Source organism: Homo sapiens, chromosome 2 (genome assembly GCF_000001405.40).
Source record: "Homo sapiens chromosome 2, GRCh38.p14 Primary Assembly".
Lineage (NCBI taxonomy): Eukaryota > Metazoa > Chordata > Mammalia > Primates > Hominidae > Homo > Homo sapiens.
In genome coordinates this window covers 202,575,637-202,591,790 of record NC_000002.12, presented here as the reverse complement: position 1 = coordinate 202,591,790, position 16,154 = coordinate 202,575,637, and the positions used below count along the sequence as shown (strand labels likewise).

At 42.4% G+C, this 16,154-nt stretch overlaps 1 annotated feature.

Annotated features, from left to right (window-relative positions):
* Positions 14,184–15,088: an enhancer, noted in NCBI's record as "H3K27ac-H3K4me1 hESC enhancer chr2:203441426-203442330 (GRCh37/hg19 assembly coordinates)". NCBI's record gives its function as "activates a minimal SCP1, AML or CMV promoter by ChIP-STARR-seq in primed H9 embryonic stem cells {active_cell/tissue: H9 hESC(primed)}" and the evidence as "EXISTENCE:reporter gene assay evidence [ECO:0000049][PMID:30033119]".

Sequence of the window (16,154 nt, the reverse complement as noted above, 5' to 3'; positions counted from 1 at the left end):
TCTTGAACTCCCGTCCCCAGGTCTGCCTGCCTCGGCCTCCCAAAGTGCTGGGATTACAGGTGTGAGCCACCGTGCCCAGCCTTTCCTCATTATTTCATGTTCATCTTTAGTAAAGCAGCTATCAGTAGCTTCACTTGCCACCTAAAACTTCCAATATACGTTCTTATAACTGGAGAACTTTCAGTCAGTTTATACATCTAGAGGAATCTTTTTTAATTTTTTATTTTTGAGACAGAGTCTCACTCTGTCACCCAGGCTGGGGTGCAGTGGTGCAATCTCAGCTCACTGCAAACTCTGCCTCCTGGGTTCAAGCATTTCTCCTGCCTCAGCCTCCTGAGTAGCAGGGACTACAGGCACATGCCACCACGTCCGGCTAATTTTTGTATTTCTAGTAGAGATGGGATTTCACCATGTTGGCCAGGATGGTCTTGATCTCCTGACCTTGTGATCCACCCACCTCAGCCTCCCAAAGTGCTGGGATTACAGGCATGAGCTAACATGCCCGGCCATCTAGAGGAATCCTAATGAAAAATTAAAGACTCAAAAAGCTTTATAGTAATAGGAAAATAGTACCTGTTTGTTTTTATTATGATAATATACAAAGAGACACTGAAGCCTCTTCAACAATTCTGAATGTAAGAAAGCAATTTTTAGGTAGAAAGTATCAGAGAAGAGAAAATAAGGAGAAAAAGTAATTAGAAATTGTTTCCTCAAAAAATTAAGTATCAGCTTGGCATTATGCTTATGCCTATAATCCCAGCACTTTGGGAAACTAAGGTGGGAGGATCACTTGAGGCCAGGGGTTCAAGACCATCCTGGGCAACATAGTAAGACCCCATCTCTTTAAAAAAAAAAAAAAAAAAGAGCCAGGCATGGTGGCATGTGTCTGTAGTCCTAGCTACTTGGGAGACAGAGGTGAGAGGATCACTTGAGCCCAGGAGTTTGAGGCTACTGTGAGCCCTGATCATGCCACCGCACTCCATCCTCGGCAACAGAGTGAGACTCTGTCTTTTAAAAAATAAATAGGCTGGGTGCAGTGGCTCACGCCTGTAATCCCAGCACTTTGGGAGGCAGAGGCAGGTGGATCACAAGGTCAGGAGCTGGAGACCATCCTGGCTAACACGGTGAAACCCCATCTCTACTAAAAATACAAAAAATTAGCCGGGCGTGGTGGCACACGCCTATAGTTCCAGCTACTCTGGAGGCTGAGGCAGGAGAATGGTGTGAACCCGGCAGGTGGAGCTTGCAGTGAGCCGAGATGGTGCCACTGCACTCCAGCCTGGGCGACAGAGTGAGACACTGTCTCAAATAAATAAATAAATAAATATCAAACTAGTCAGCTTCTTGTAGCAGAGAGCAGAGGGGAGGGTAGATCTGGAGAGGAAATATGAAATATCCAACAGCCATGAGTAGAAATTGATATGGGAAAGAGGAACAGGAAGATCAGTGATGGCTGACTAGAAACATTGGATGCCAGTTCTCCTCAGAGAGAAGAACCAAAGGTGAATAATCATGGCCCAAGTGGAATACTGATCGAAGAGTGACAGAACCCACAGGAAGAAGTTGGGGCACAGAAAAAAGAGGGAAGCAAGAGTTTGGCAGAGATAATACCCAAGGGACTTGCAGTCCTGTGGAAAGGGTAGGTGGGGATGTTTTTAGCTCATTTCACTCACCCTTGCTGCAGCAGACTGCTGGTTTCCAAACTGTTGAAGAGCCCCTCTACCCTCTTGAATTGGCACCAGTATGAGCAGTGATTTGAGAACTTCTTGCGGGCAGAGCACCAGGTTGCCAGCTCATGCAGGATTGCTCACCCTGCCCGTAGACCCGAGCTGAGGTGGTGGGTGCCATACTGGTTGTGCACCCATTGAGGGCCTCTGTCCTGCCCAAGGAGTCTCAGCCCTTGTGTTGCTGCATTACTGGATCCCCTGTAAACATTCCCTTGCACCTCCTCAGGCTGTAGCAACCACAAAGGGCCAGTGGGATCCAGGGGGAGCTGTGGCGTTGCTGGAGGTGTAACCCTCAGGGCAAACTGTCCATAGGGGAAGGGAGTGTACACCGTGCCAAAGCACCCCTTGGGACAAAGGAGACGAGAGTACAGGGTCTCCTGTGCCTGAGAGCTCCCTGCTTGCGCACTGAAGGTGACTGTGCCCCTTGCAGCAGAGGCAGGTGTGGTGCTGGAGGAGTGTGTTTCAACCCCAGTGGGCAGGCAGCATTGGTGCTCAAGAAGGGACACAGAGAGGGGGACTTCTCCCCTACAATCATTGCTGTGTACATAGCCAGGCTGTTCCTGTGGGGGGTTGGCACAGGTGTGCCTATGGATGGTCAATGCAGGGCTATTAGGGGTGGGTGCACCCCAACTGGCAGTGTTCCCACCACCCCAGGCCCGGCTTGCATGAAGAGTAGGGCCCCTCTCCCTCTCTACATGGAGCAACAGTTTTCCTGCAGTAGAGATCAACGAAGCCACAAAGTTGTCTGTGTTCAGCTGAGGGAAGAGGTTCCCACGGGAAGCCGTTTCAGTGGAGGGCTCTGGGACAGGCATTTCTGTGGCCCTCAGCTATATTGCAGCCTAGAGACAAACGACATTGCCTATTTCAGGGTCACAAAGCCTCGGGACAGGGGTGTGATTGGGAGGCAGATGGCATTCCTTCTTGGTCAGGACATAGAGCTGGTGCAGCCCTCTCTGCCTGTGATGGAAACCTCAGCGCTTTTCACCACAAGCCCCCGACCAGCCTCATCAGGGTTTGTGCTTCCACTGTCATTGGGGTATCCGAAGGTGAGCTTAGCAGTCCAGCTGCACCCAGCTTCGTCTTCCTTTCCTGGGGTAAGTAGAGAACTCAGGGCACCCAGCATTCCACAGATCAGTCCACCCACAGATCAGCCCACCGCCTGAGACAACAGACAGCCCCTCCCAGTAAACAAAGATTAAGCACGCACACACCCTGGGCATCTGGCTCTTACCCGTATTCGCCACCTGCTGGTCTAGAGACGGAACTGCACAACCCAATACAAAACCTTTTGACCGAAGTGCACAGCGCTATGAACCAGGTAAGCTTCCTGAGACCTCCACAGTCTCAGCTCTGCAGAAGGTAGTGAGCCTGCTAATATGCCCAGCACAGTGTTACTACAACCAGCACTTGAGAAAGCCACTGCACAAAGGCTAACTATAACCAAGGAATTCATACAGAACTTTGGCACCCTGACAGCACCCAGAATTGAAGCCAAACAACCATTCACAACATACATTACAGTCACACCCTTGAAGGGGATAATTCTTTTAAAAGTCCCATGCAATGAAAAGTAAATTCAAAAACAAGTAGTGAGAGATTCTCCAGATGAGAAAGAACCAATGTAAGAAGTCTGACAGTATGAGAAAACAGAGTATTTCAACAACCTAAAAAGATTACATTAGCTCTCCAGCAAAAGATACTAACCAAAATGAAAATTCTGAAATTACAGACAAAGAATTTTCAAAATATATATTGTAAGGAAGTTCAATGAGATCCAAGAAAAGGTGAAAAAAACAACATGAAAAAATTAGAGAAACAATACAGGATATGAATGAAAAATTTACAAAAAAGAAGAAAATTTACTAAAAAGATAGATATTTTAAAAAAACAGAACTTCTGCAAATGAAAAATGTATTATAGGAATTACAAAACACAGTTGAAAGACTTAGAAATAGACTAGACCAAGCAGAAGAAAGAAATTTAGCAGAAGAAGACAGGTCTTTTAATTTAACCCAGTCAGACAAAAATAAAGAAAAAAGAATTTTTAAAAATGAGCAAAGCCTTCAAGAAATATGGGAATATGTAAAGTGGCCAATCCTATAAATCATAGGTATTCCTAAGAGAGAATAAGAAAAAGTAAAAATCTTTTGTTTGTTTTTTTTTTTGAGATGGAGTCTCACTCTGTCACACAGGTTGGAGTGCAATGGCATAATCTCGGCTCACTGCAATCTCCACATCCTGGGTTCAAGCCATTCTCATACCTCAGCCTCCTAAATAGCTGGGATTATAGGCATGCACCACCACACCTGGCTAATTTTTGGATTTTTTTTTTGAGATGGAGTCTCACACTGTCGCCTGGGTTGCAGTGCAGTGGCCCAATCAGGGCTCACTGCAACCTCCACCTCCCAGGTTGAAGTGATTCTCCTGCCTTAGCCTCCCGAGTAGCTGGGACAACAGGCTCCCGCCACCAGCCTGGCTTTTTTTTTTTTTTTTTTTTTTTTTTTGTATTTTTAGTAGAGACGGAGGTTCACTATGTTGGCCAGGCTGGTCTCAAATGCCTGACCTTGTATCCACCTGCCTTGGCCTCCCAAAGTGCTGGGATAACAGCCGTGAGCCACTGCGCCTGGCCAATGTGTGTACACCCACCATCACATTAGAACTAACATCCCGCTAGAATATTACGATTAATATCACAGGGTGTACACACATGGTGTACACTCACTGTGACATTAGAAATAACATCCTCCTAGAATATTACGATTAATATCACAGGGTGTACACACACGGCGTACACCCACTGTGACATTAGGTGTAACATCCCCCTAAAATATTACAAATAATATCACAGGTTGTACACACATCGTGTAACCCACTGTGAAATGAGCAGTAACATTTCCCTAGGATATTACAAATAATATCACTGGTGGTTTACCCACATGGGGTACACCCCCTGTGACATTAGAAGTAACATCACTTTAGGATATTACAAATAATATCATAGGGGGTGTGCACACATGATGGACATACCCTGTGACATTAGGAATAACATCCCCCTGGGAGGCTGAGGCAAGAGAATTACTTGAAACCGGAAGGCAGAGGTTGCAGTGAGCTGAGATCGCGCCACTGCACTCCAGCCTGGGTGGAAGAGCAAAACTCCGTCAAAAAATAAAAAAATAAAAAAAGGAATAACATCCCCCTAGGATGTTATGAATAATATGACAGGGGGTCTCAATCTCCTGACCTTGTGATCCGCCCTCCTTGGCCTCCCAAAGGGGATGTTACTTCTAATGTCACAGGAGTTGTACACCATGTGTGTACACCTTCTGTGATATTCTTTGTAATACCCTAGGGAGATGTTACTTATAAGGTCACAGGGTGTGTACCCCATGTGTGTAAACCGCCAGTGCTATTCGTAATATTCTATGGGGATGTCACTCCTGTGACATTAGAAGTAACATCACTTTAAGATATTACAAATAATATCACAAGGGTGTGCACACACGGTGGACATCCCCTGTGACATTAGAAATAACATTCCCCTAGAATAGTATGCATAATATCACAAGGAGTGTACACATCCCCTGTGACATTAGGGGTAACATCCCTCTAGAATATTACGAATAATATCACAGGGCATGTACCCACATGGTGTACACCTCCTGTGATATTAGGAGTAACATCTCACTAGAATATGACAAATAATATGACAGGTGGTGTACACACACGGTGTACACACCCTGTGACATTAGAAGTAACATCCACCTAGGATATTACAAACAGTATCACAGGGGGTGTACATAGATGGTACCATATGTGTAAACCTCCTGTGACAGTAAGAGAAACATCTTCCTAGCATATTACGAATAATATCACAGGGCATGTACACACATGGTATACAATCCCTGTGACATTAGAAGTAACATCCCCTTTGGGAGGCCAAGGCGGGCGGATCACAAGGTCAGGAGATTGAGACCATCCTGACTAACATGGTGAAACCCTGTCTCTACTAAAAATACAGAAAAAAAATTAGCCAGGCATGGTGGCAGGTGCCTGTAGTCCCAGCTACTTGGGAGGCTGAGGAAGGAGAACGGTGTGAACCAAGGAGGCGGAGCTTGCAGTGAGCCGACATCGTGCCACTGCACTCCAGCCTGGACGACGAAGCGAGACTCCGTCTCAAAAAAAAAAAAAAAAAAAAAAAAAGAAGTAGCGTCCCTTTAAAATGTTAGGAATAATGTCACAGGTGGTGTACGCACATGTTGTACACCTTAAGTTACATTAAGATTAACATCTTCCTAGGATGTTATGAATAATATCACAGGGCTTGTACACACATGGTGTACACGCCCCGTGACATTACGAGTTAACATCCCTGTAGGATATTAGGAATGATATCACCCCCTGTGGTGTACACACATGGTGTACAACCCGTTTCATAGGAGTGACATCCACCAAAATATTAGGGATAATATCCCCTAGCATATTACGAATAATATCACAAGGGTTGTAAACACATTATACAACTCGTGAGACATTAAAGGTAAAATCCCCAGAGGTTTTTATGAATAACATAACACGGAGGTGTACACACATAGTACATATCTTAAGTTACATTAGTAGTAACATCCCCAAGGATGTTATGAATAATATTACAGGGTGTGTACACATATGGTGTACACCTTAAGTTACATTAGGAGTAATATCCCCTTAGGATATTATGAATATTATCATAGGAGGTATACACACATGGTGTACACTCCCTGTAACATTAAAAGTAACATTCCACTAGGATATTACAAATAATATCACAGGGGGTGTACACACATGGAGTATTTCCCCTGTGACATTAAGAGTAACATTCCCCTAGGATATTACAAATAACATCACAGGGTGTGCACCTTCTCTGACATTAGAATTAACAACCCCCTAGGATATTAGGAAGAATATCACAGGGTGTACACCCTCTGTGACATTAGGAGTAACATCCCTCTGTGATATTAGGAGTAATATCACAGGGTGTACACTCCTTGTGATATTAGGAGTAATATCCCCCTATGATATTATGAATAATATCATAAGGTGTGCAGCACCTGTGACATTACGAGTAACATTCCCTTAGGATATTATGAATAATATCACAGTGTGTACACCCCCTGTGAGATGAGGAGTAACATCTTTTTAGGATATTATGAATAATATCACAAGTTGTAAACCCCCTGTGACATTAGGACTAATATCCCCGTAAGATATTATGAATAATACCACAGGAAGTACACCCCCTGTGACATTAGGAGTAACATCCCAGTATGATACTATGAATAATATAACAGGGTGTAGACCCATTGTGACATTCGTAGTAACATTCCCCTAGGATATTACGAATAATATCACAAGCGTACACCTTCTGTGACATTAGGAGTAATATTTTTCTAGTATATTATGAATAATATCACAGTGTGTACACCCCTTGTGACATTAGGAGTAACATCCTCCTAGGATGTTATTTATAATATTACATGGTGTACACATTAGGAGTAACATCCCCCTAGGATATTACGAATAGTATCACAGGGTGTGTAGGTGATCCACCCACCTTGGCCTCCCAAAGTGCTGGGATTACAGGTGTCAGCCAGCACACCCAGCTGTAAAAATCTTTTAAAACCTATTTGAGGAAATAATTCAGGAAAATTTCCCCAGTCTTGCTAGAGACTTAGACATAAAGAAAGACTGAGAGGTTAAAGAAAGCTCAGAGAACAACATGCCTTGTTGAACTTTGCAAGACAAATCTCAACTAGTCATATTGCCATCAGACTATCCAAAGTCACTAGGAAGGAAAAAAATTTTAAAAGCAGCAAGAGAGAAGCATCTAATCACCTATAAAGTACTTCATAGCAGAAATCTTACAAGCCAGAAGAGAGTAGGGTCCTATTTTCAGTCTTCTTAAGGAAAAAAACCTGCCAGCCAAGATATTGTATCCTGCTAAGCTAAGTTTCATAAATGAAGGAGAAATAAAGTCTTTCCCAGAAAAGCAAACATAAAGGGAATTTGTTGCCACTAGACCAGACCTACAAGGAATGATCAAAGTAGTTCTGAACATAGAAATGAAAGGACGATACTTGCCACCATAAAAGCACACAAAAGTACAAAACTCACAGATCTTATAAAGCTATTACACAATTGAGACTACAAAGCAACTAGGTAATAATTAACATTATGACAGAAATAAAACCTCACATATCAATATTAACCTTGCATGTAAATCGACTAAATGCTCTACTTAAAATATATAGGCTGGCAGAATGGATTTTAAAAAAACAACAGGCCAGGTGTGGTGGCTCACACCTGTAATCCCCACACTTTGGGAGGCTGAGGTGGGTGGATCATCTGAGGTCAGGAGTTTGAGACCAGCCTGGCCAACATGGTCAAACTCTGTCTCTACTAAAAATACAAAAAAATTAGCCAGGCATGGTGGCACACACCTGTAACCCCAGCTACTTGGAAGGCTGAGATAGGAGAATCACTTGAACCCAGGAGGCGGAGGTTGCAGTGAGCCAAGATTATGCCATTGCACTCCAGCCTCAGCAACACAGTGAGACTTCATCTCAAAAAATAGATAAATAAATAAAAATAACAACAACAAGATCCAATTATATGCTGCTCACAAGAAATCCACCAAGGGCCGGGTGCAGTGGCTCACGCCTGTAATCCCAGCACTTTGGGAGGCCGAGGCGGGCAGATCACGAGGTCAAGAGATTGAGACAATCCTGGCTAACACGGTGAAAACCCGTCTCTACTAAAAATACAAAAAATTAGCTGGGCACGGTGGCGGGCGCCTGTAGTCCCAGCTACTAGGGAGGTTGAGGCAGGAGAATGGCGGGAACCCAGGAGGCGGAGCTTGCAGTGAGCCGAGATAGCGCCACTGCACTCCAGCCTGGGGGACAGAGCAAGACTCTGTCTCAAATAAAAAAAAAAAAAAAGAAATCCACCTAATGAGTAGTCATCATTTACAGACTTAAAGGAGTGGAAAAAGAAATTCCACACAAATGGAAACCAAAAGTGAGTAAGAGTAGCTATACTTGTATCAGATAAAACGTACTTTAAATCAACAACAGTTAAAAAAAAAAGGCAAAAGAGGTCATTATATAATGACAAAGATTTCAACAAGAAGATACAACAATCCTAAATATATATGCACTCAACACTGGTCCACTCAGATTCATAAAACAAATACTACTAGACCTAAGAAAAGAGATAGACAACAATACAACAGTACAATAGTAGGGGGACTTCAACATTTCACTTATAGCACTAGACAGATCACCAAGACAGAAAATCAACAAATAAATTCGATTTAAATTGAACTCTAGGCCAAATGAACCCCACAGATGTTTACAGAACATTCTACCCAAAATGGCAGAATATACATTCTTCTCATCTGTTCATGGAACATTCCCCAAAATAGACCATATCCTTGGCCAATAAGCAAGTCTCAACATATTTTGAAAAATCAAAATCATATCAAATATTTTCTCAGACCATGGTGGAATAAAACTAGAGATCAATGCCAAGAAGGACTCTCAAAACTATATAAATACGTGGAAATGTAACAGCCTGTTCCTGAATGATCTTTGGGTAAATGATAAAATTAAGATAGAAATTTTTAAACATTTTTCTTTTTCCTCTTCTTCTTCTTGAAACAAGGTCTCACTCTGTCACCCATGCTGAAGTGTAATGGCATGACCATAGTTTATTATAGCCTCAAATTCCTAGGCTCAAGCAATCCTCCTGCCTCAGCTTCCCAAGTATCTGGGACTACAGGCACATGCCACAGTGCCTGGCTAATTTTTTTTTTTCTTTTTTGAGACAGAGTCTCACTCTGTCACCCAGGCTGGAGTGCAGTGGCATGATCTCAGCTCACTGCAACCTCTGCCTCCCGGGTTCAAGCGATTCTCCTGCCTCAGTCTCCCAAGTAGCTGGGATTACAGGTATGCGCCACCAAGGTCAACTAATTTTTATATTTTTAGTAGAGACAGGGTTTCACCATATTGGCCAGGCTGGTCTTGAACTCCTGACTTTGTGATCTGCCCGCCTTGGCTTCCCAAAGTGCTGGGATTACAGGTGTGAGCCACCGCGCCTGGCCCAAATTTTTTTTTTAATTTTTTAATAGAGATGGAGTCTTGATATGTTGCCCAAGCAGGTCTTAAACTTCTGGCCCCAAGTAATCCTCCCACTTTCACCTCCCAAAGTGCTGGGATTACAGTTGTGAGCTACTGTGCTTAGCCTAGAAATTTAAAAAATATTTGGAATGAATGAAAGCAGAGACACAACATACCAGAATCTCTGAGATACAGCAAAAGCAGTTAGAAGAGGGAATTTTATAGCATTAAATGCTTACATCAAAAAGATAGAAAGATCTCAAATTAACCACCTAATGTCGCACCTGAAGGAACTAGAAAAACAAGAACAAACCAAACCCAAAGCTATCAGAAAAAAGAGAAATAACAAAGATCAGCCAGGTGCGGTGGCTCACGCCTGTAATCCCAGCACTTTGGGAGGCTGAGGCAGGTGGATCACCTGAGGTCAGGAGTTTGAGACCAGCCTGGCCAACATGGTGAAACCCCATCTCTACTAAAAATACAAAAATTAGTAGGGCGTGGTGGCAGGTGCCTGTAATCCCAGCTACTTGGGAGGCTGACGCAGGAGAATCACTTGAATCCGGGAGGTGGAGATTGCAGTGAGCCGAGATCGCACCACTGCACTCCAGCCTGGGCAACAAGAGAGAAACTCTGTCTCCAAAAAAAAAAAAAAGGAAGAAAGAAAGAAAAATAACAAAGATCACAGCAGAACTAAATGATATTGAGGCAAAAACAAAACAAAAAACAAACAAACAAAAACCAATACAGGCTCAGTGCAGTGGCTCATGCCTGTAATCCCAGCACTTTGGGAGGCCAAGGCAGAAGGATTGCTTGAGCCCAGGAGTTTGAGACCAGCCTGGGCAAGATGATGAAACCCTGTCTCTTCAAAAAATACAAAAATTAGCCAGGCGTGATGGCATGTGCCTGTAATACCAGCTATTCAGGAGGCAGAGGTGGAAGGATGGCTTGAGCCTGGGAGGGTGAGGTTGCAGTGAGCCATACTGCGCCACTGCATTCCAGCCTGGGTGACAAAGCAAGACCCTGTCTCAAAAACCAACAACAACAATGGATCAATGAAATGAAAAGATTCTTTGAAAATATAAACAAATTGATAGACTGTTAGCTGGATTATCCAAGTAACAAAGAAGATTCATATAAGCACAGTAAGAAATGATAAAGGTGATATTACAACTGATACCACCAAAATAAAAAAGATCATCAGAGACTACTATGATTATCTATATGTGCACAAACTAGAAAATCTAGAAGAAATGGATAAATACCTGGAAACATACAACCTCTCAAAGAATGAGCCAGGAAGAAATAGAAAATCCTGAACAGACCAATAATGAGCCATGAAATTGAAACAGTAATTAAAAAATCTCCCAACAAAAAAGGCCTAGGACCAGATGGATTTACAGCCTAATTTTATCAGACTTACAAAGAAGAACTGGTACCAGTTCTTCTACTCCTACTGAAACTGTTCCAAAAAATCGGGGAGAAGGGCATCCTGTCTAACTCATTCTACAAAGCTAGTAACACTGTGATACAAAAGGCCAGCAGGACACAACAAAAAAGGAAAAACTAATGCATATATATATACATATACATATATATACACATACGTATATACACATACATATACACACACATACATATACATACACACACACGTACATGTATACACACACACACACACACATACATATATATATATATAGAGAGAGAGAGAGAGAGATGGAGTCTTGCTCTGTCGCCCAGGCTGGAGTGCAGTGGCTCAATCTTGGCTCACTGCAACCTCTGCCTCCTGGGTTCAAGCGATTCTCCTGCCTCAGCCTCCTGAGTATCTGCACTGCAGGCACCCATGACCACGCCCAGCTAATTGCTGTATTTTTAGTAGAGACGGGGTTTCACCATGTTGGCCAGGCTGGTCATGAACTCCTGACCTCAGGTGATCCGCCTGCCTTGGCCTCCCAAAGTGCTGGGATTACAGGCATGAGCCACCGCACCGAGCCTACCTGCCAATATTCTTGATGAACACAGATGTAAAAATCCTCACCAAAATACTAACAAACTAAATCCAACATCACATTGAAAAGATAATACAACACAATAACTAGGTTTTATTCTAGGGATGCAAGGATGGTTCAACATACACAAATCAGTAAGTATGATTCAACATGTAAACAGAATTAAAAACAAAAAACCATATGACCCTCTCGAATGATGGCAGAAAACGCATTTGATAAAATTCAGCATCCCTTCCTGGTAAAAACCCTCAAACAAACTACCTCAAAATAATAAAACTCATGTATGACAAACCCACAGACAACATCATACTGAATGGGGAAAAGTTGAAAGCATTCCCTTAAGAACTGGAACAAGACAAGGATGCCCACTTTCACCATTCCTATTCAATATAGTACTGGAAGTCCTAGTTAGAGCAATCAGACAAGAGGAAGAAATAAAAGGCATCCAAATTAAAATTATATCTGTTCGCTGATGATTTGGTCTTTTATCTAAAACACCCTAAAGAATCCTCCAAAAGACTCCTGGGTTTGATTAATGACTTTAGTAAAGTTTCAGGATATGAACTAATGTACCAAAATCAGTAGCATTTCTATATACCAATAATGCTCAAGCTGAGAACCAAATAAAGAACTCAATCCTACTTATAATAGTTAAAAGAAGAATAAAACACCTGGGAATACATTTAACCAAGGAGTTGAAACATCTATACAAGGAGAACTATAAAACACTGATGAAAGAAATTGTAGAGTAAACAAATGGAGAAACATCCCATGCTCATGGATTGAAAGAATCAGTATCATTAAGATGACCATACTACCCAAAGCAATCTACAGATTCAAAGCAATTCCTATCAAATTACCAATGTCATTTTTCACAGAATTAGAAAAAGCAATCCTAAAGTTCATATGGAATCAAAAAACAGCTGGACTAGCCAAAGCAATCATAAGCCAAAATAACAAAGCTGGAGGCATCACCTTACCTGACTCCAAATTATACTACAAGATAGAGTCACCAAAACAGTATAGTATTGATGTAAAAACAGACACTTAGATTAATGAAACAGAATAGAAAACATAGAAACAAAGCCACACACCTACAGCCAAATGATCTTCAACAAAGTTCATAGAAATATAAACTGGGAAAAAGATACCTTATTCAATAAATAGTGCTGGCAAAATTGGATTGCCATATGCAGAAGAATGAAACTGGATCCCTGTCTTGAGTTAATAAAAATTAACTCAAGATGGATTAAATCCTTAAATGTAAGACCTGAAATTATAAAAATCCTGGAAGAAAACCTAGAAAAAACTCTTTTTTTTTTTTTTTTTTTTTTTTTTTGGTGGCTGAGCTTGGTGAGGTGTGTTTTTATTTTTTTATTTTTATTTTTTTTTATTTTTTTTTTTTTAATTTTTTTTTTATTGATAATTCTTAGGTGTTTCTCACAGAGGGGGATTTGGCAGGGTCATGGGACAATAGTGGAGGGAAGGTCAGCAGATAAACAAGTGAACAAAGGTCTCTGGTTTTCCTAGGAAGAGGACCCTGCGGCCTTCCGCAGTGTTTGTGTCCCTGATTACTTGAGATTAGGGATTGGTGATGACTCTTAACGAGCATGCTGCCTTCAAGCATCTGTTTAACAAAGCACATCTTGCACCGCCCTTAATCCATTTAACCCTGAGTGGACACAGCACATGTTTCAGAGAGCACAGGGTTGGGGGTAAGGTCACAGATCAACAGGATCCCAAGACAGAGGAATTTTTCTTAGTGCAGAACAAAATGAAAAGTCTCCCATGTCTACTTCCTTCTACACAGACACGGCAACCATCTGATTTCTCAATCTTTTCCCCGCCTTTCCCGCCTTTCTATTCCACAAGGCCGCCATTGTCATCCTGGCCCGTTCTCAAGAAAAAACTCTTTTAGACATTGGCCTAAGCAAAGAATTTTGAAATTTATTTGCTCAAAAGCAAATGCAACAAAAATAAACGTAGACAAATGGGGCCTAATTAAACTAAAAAGCTTCTGCACAACAAAGTAAATAATTGGCCAGGTGCAGTGGCTCACGTCTGTAATCCCAGCACTTTGGGAACCTGAGTAGGGAGGATCACTTGAGCCTAGGAGTTCAAGACAAGCCCGGGCAATACAGTGGGACTCTGTCTCTACAAAAAAATTAAAAGATTAGCTGGATGTGGTGGCACATGGCTACAGTTCCAGCTACTTGGGAAGCTGAGGTGGGAGGATAACTTGAGCCCTAGGGAGGTCAACGTTGCAGTGAGCCATGATCACACCACTAAATTCCAGCCTGGACAACAAAGCAAGACCCCGTCAGAAAAGAGAAGAAAAGAAGAGAGGAGAGGGGAGGGGAGGGAGGAGGGGAGTGGAAGAGAGAGAGAGACAACCTACAGAATGGGAGAAAATATTTGCAAACTATACATCTGACAAAGGGTGGATATCCAGAATCTACAAGGCATTCAAACAACTCATCCAGAAAAAAAAAACATCATCAACAAATAGCCCCATTAGAAAGTTGGGAAAGGAAATGAACAGGCATCTTTCTTTTCCTTCCTTCCATCCTTCTTTCCTTCCTTCCTTCTCTCTCTCCCCCCTTCCTTCCTCCCTCCTTCCCTCTCTTCCTCTTTCCCTCCCTTCCTCCCTATTTCTTTCTCTCTCCTTCCTTCCTTCCTCCCTTTCTCTTTCCCTCTTTTCTTCCCCTCTCCCTCTCTCTCTTTCCTTTCAGATAGGGTCTCCTTCTGTCACCCAGACTGGAGTGCAGTGGCACCAACTCAGCGCCTCACTGCAATCTCCGCTTCCCAGGTTCAAGTGATTCTCTTGCCTCAGCCCCCCAAGCAGTTGTGATTACAGGCGCCTGCTGCCACGCCGGCTAATTTTTGCGTTTTTAGTAGAGGAGGTTTCACCATGTTGGCCAGGCTGGTCTTGAACTCCTGACTTCAAGTGATCTTTCTGCTTCAGCCTCCCAAAGTGCTGGGATTACAGGCATGAGCCACCACATCCATCAGCATTTTTCAAAAGAAGACATACATGTGACTAACATGAAAAATAATCAAGAATACTAATTATCAGAGAAATGCACATTAAAACTACAATGATCATACTGGCACTTTGGGAGGATGAGGTGGGAGGATTGCTTGAGACCAGGAGTTCAAGACCAGCCTGGGCAACACAGCAAGAATCCCATCTCCATTAAAAAAAAAACAAAAAACAAAAAAAACAAACACAATGTGTCACCAGTCAGAATAGCTATTATTGAAAAATAAAAAACCAACAGATGTTGGTGATGATGTGGAGAATAGGAACACTTATACGCTGTTGGTGGAAATGTATACTAGTACAACTTCTATGGAAAACAATATGGAGACTTCTCAAAGAACTAAAAATAGAACTACCATTCAACTCAACAATCTCACTACTTGGTATCTACCTAAAAGAAAAAAAATTATACCAATAGATATCTTCACTTGTATGTTTATCTCAGCACTATTCATAATAACAAAGATATGGAATCCATGGACTACTACTCAGCCATAAATAAAAATGAAATCTTATCTTTTGTAGCAACATGGATGCAACTAGACTAGGTCATTATCTTAGGTGAAATAACTCAGAGACAGAAAGTCAGATACAGCATGCTCTCACTTCTGGGTAGAAGCTAAATAATGTGTACACATGGACACAGAAAGTGGAATAATAGACATTGGGTGGGAAGAGGGTAACTGATGAATAATTACTTAATAGGTATAATGTACACTATTTGGGCAATGGGTACATTAAAAGCCCAGTCTTCACCACTATGTAATATATTCGTGTAGCAAAATAGCACCTGTACTGACTAAACCTATTTAAAAAATTAAGTATCAAGAAAGCCAGAGTTGTCTGAGGTTGGTGGCTCACTGATCCTGTAATCCCAGCAGTTTGGGAGGATGAGGTGGGAGGATCACTTGAGCCCAGGAGTTTGAGACCAGCTTGAGCAACAGAGTGGGACCCCCAACTCTACCAAATAAAAACAATAATAAGATGGGTGTGGTGGTGTGTCCGGAATTGGTTCCTTCTGGTGGGTCCTTGGTCTCGCTGATTTCAAGAATGAAGCCGCAGATCCTCGCGCTGAGTGTCACAGCTCTTACAGATGGTGTCCGGAGTTTGTTCCCTCAGATGTTCAGATGTGTCCGGAGTTTTTTGCCTCTGGTGGGTTCGTGATCTCACTGACTTCAGGAGTGAGGCCACAGACCCTAGCAGTGGGTGTTACAGCTCCTAA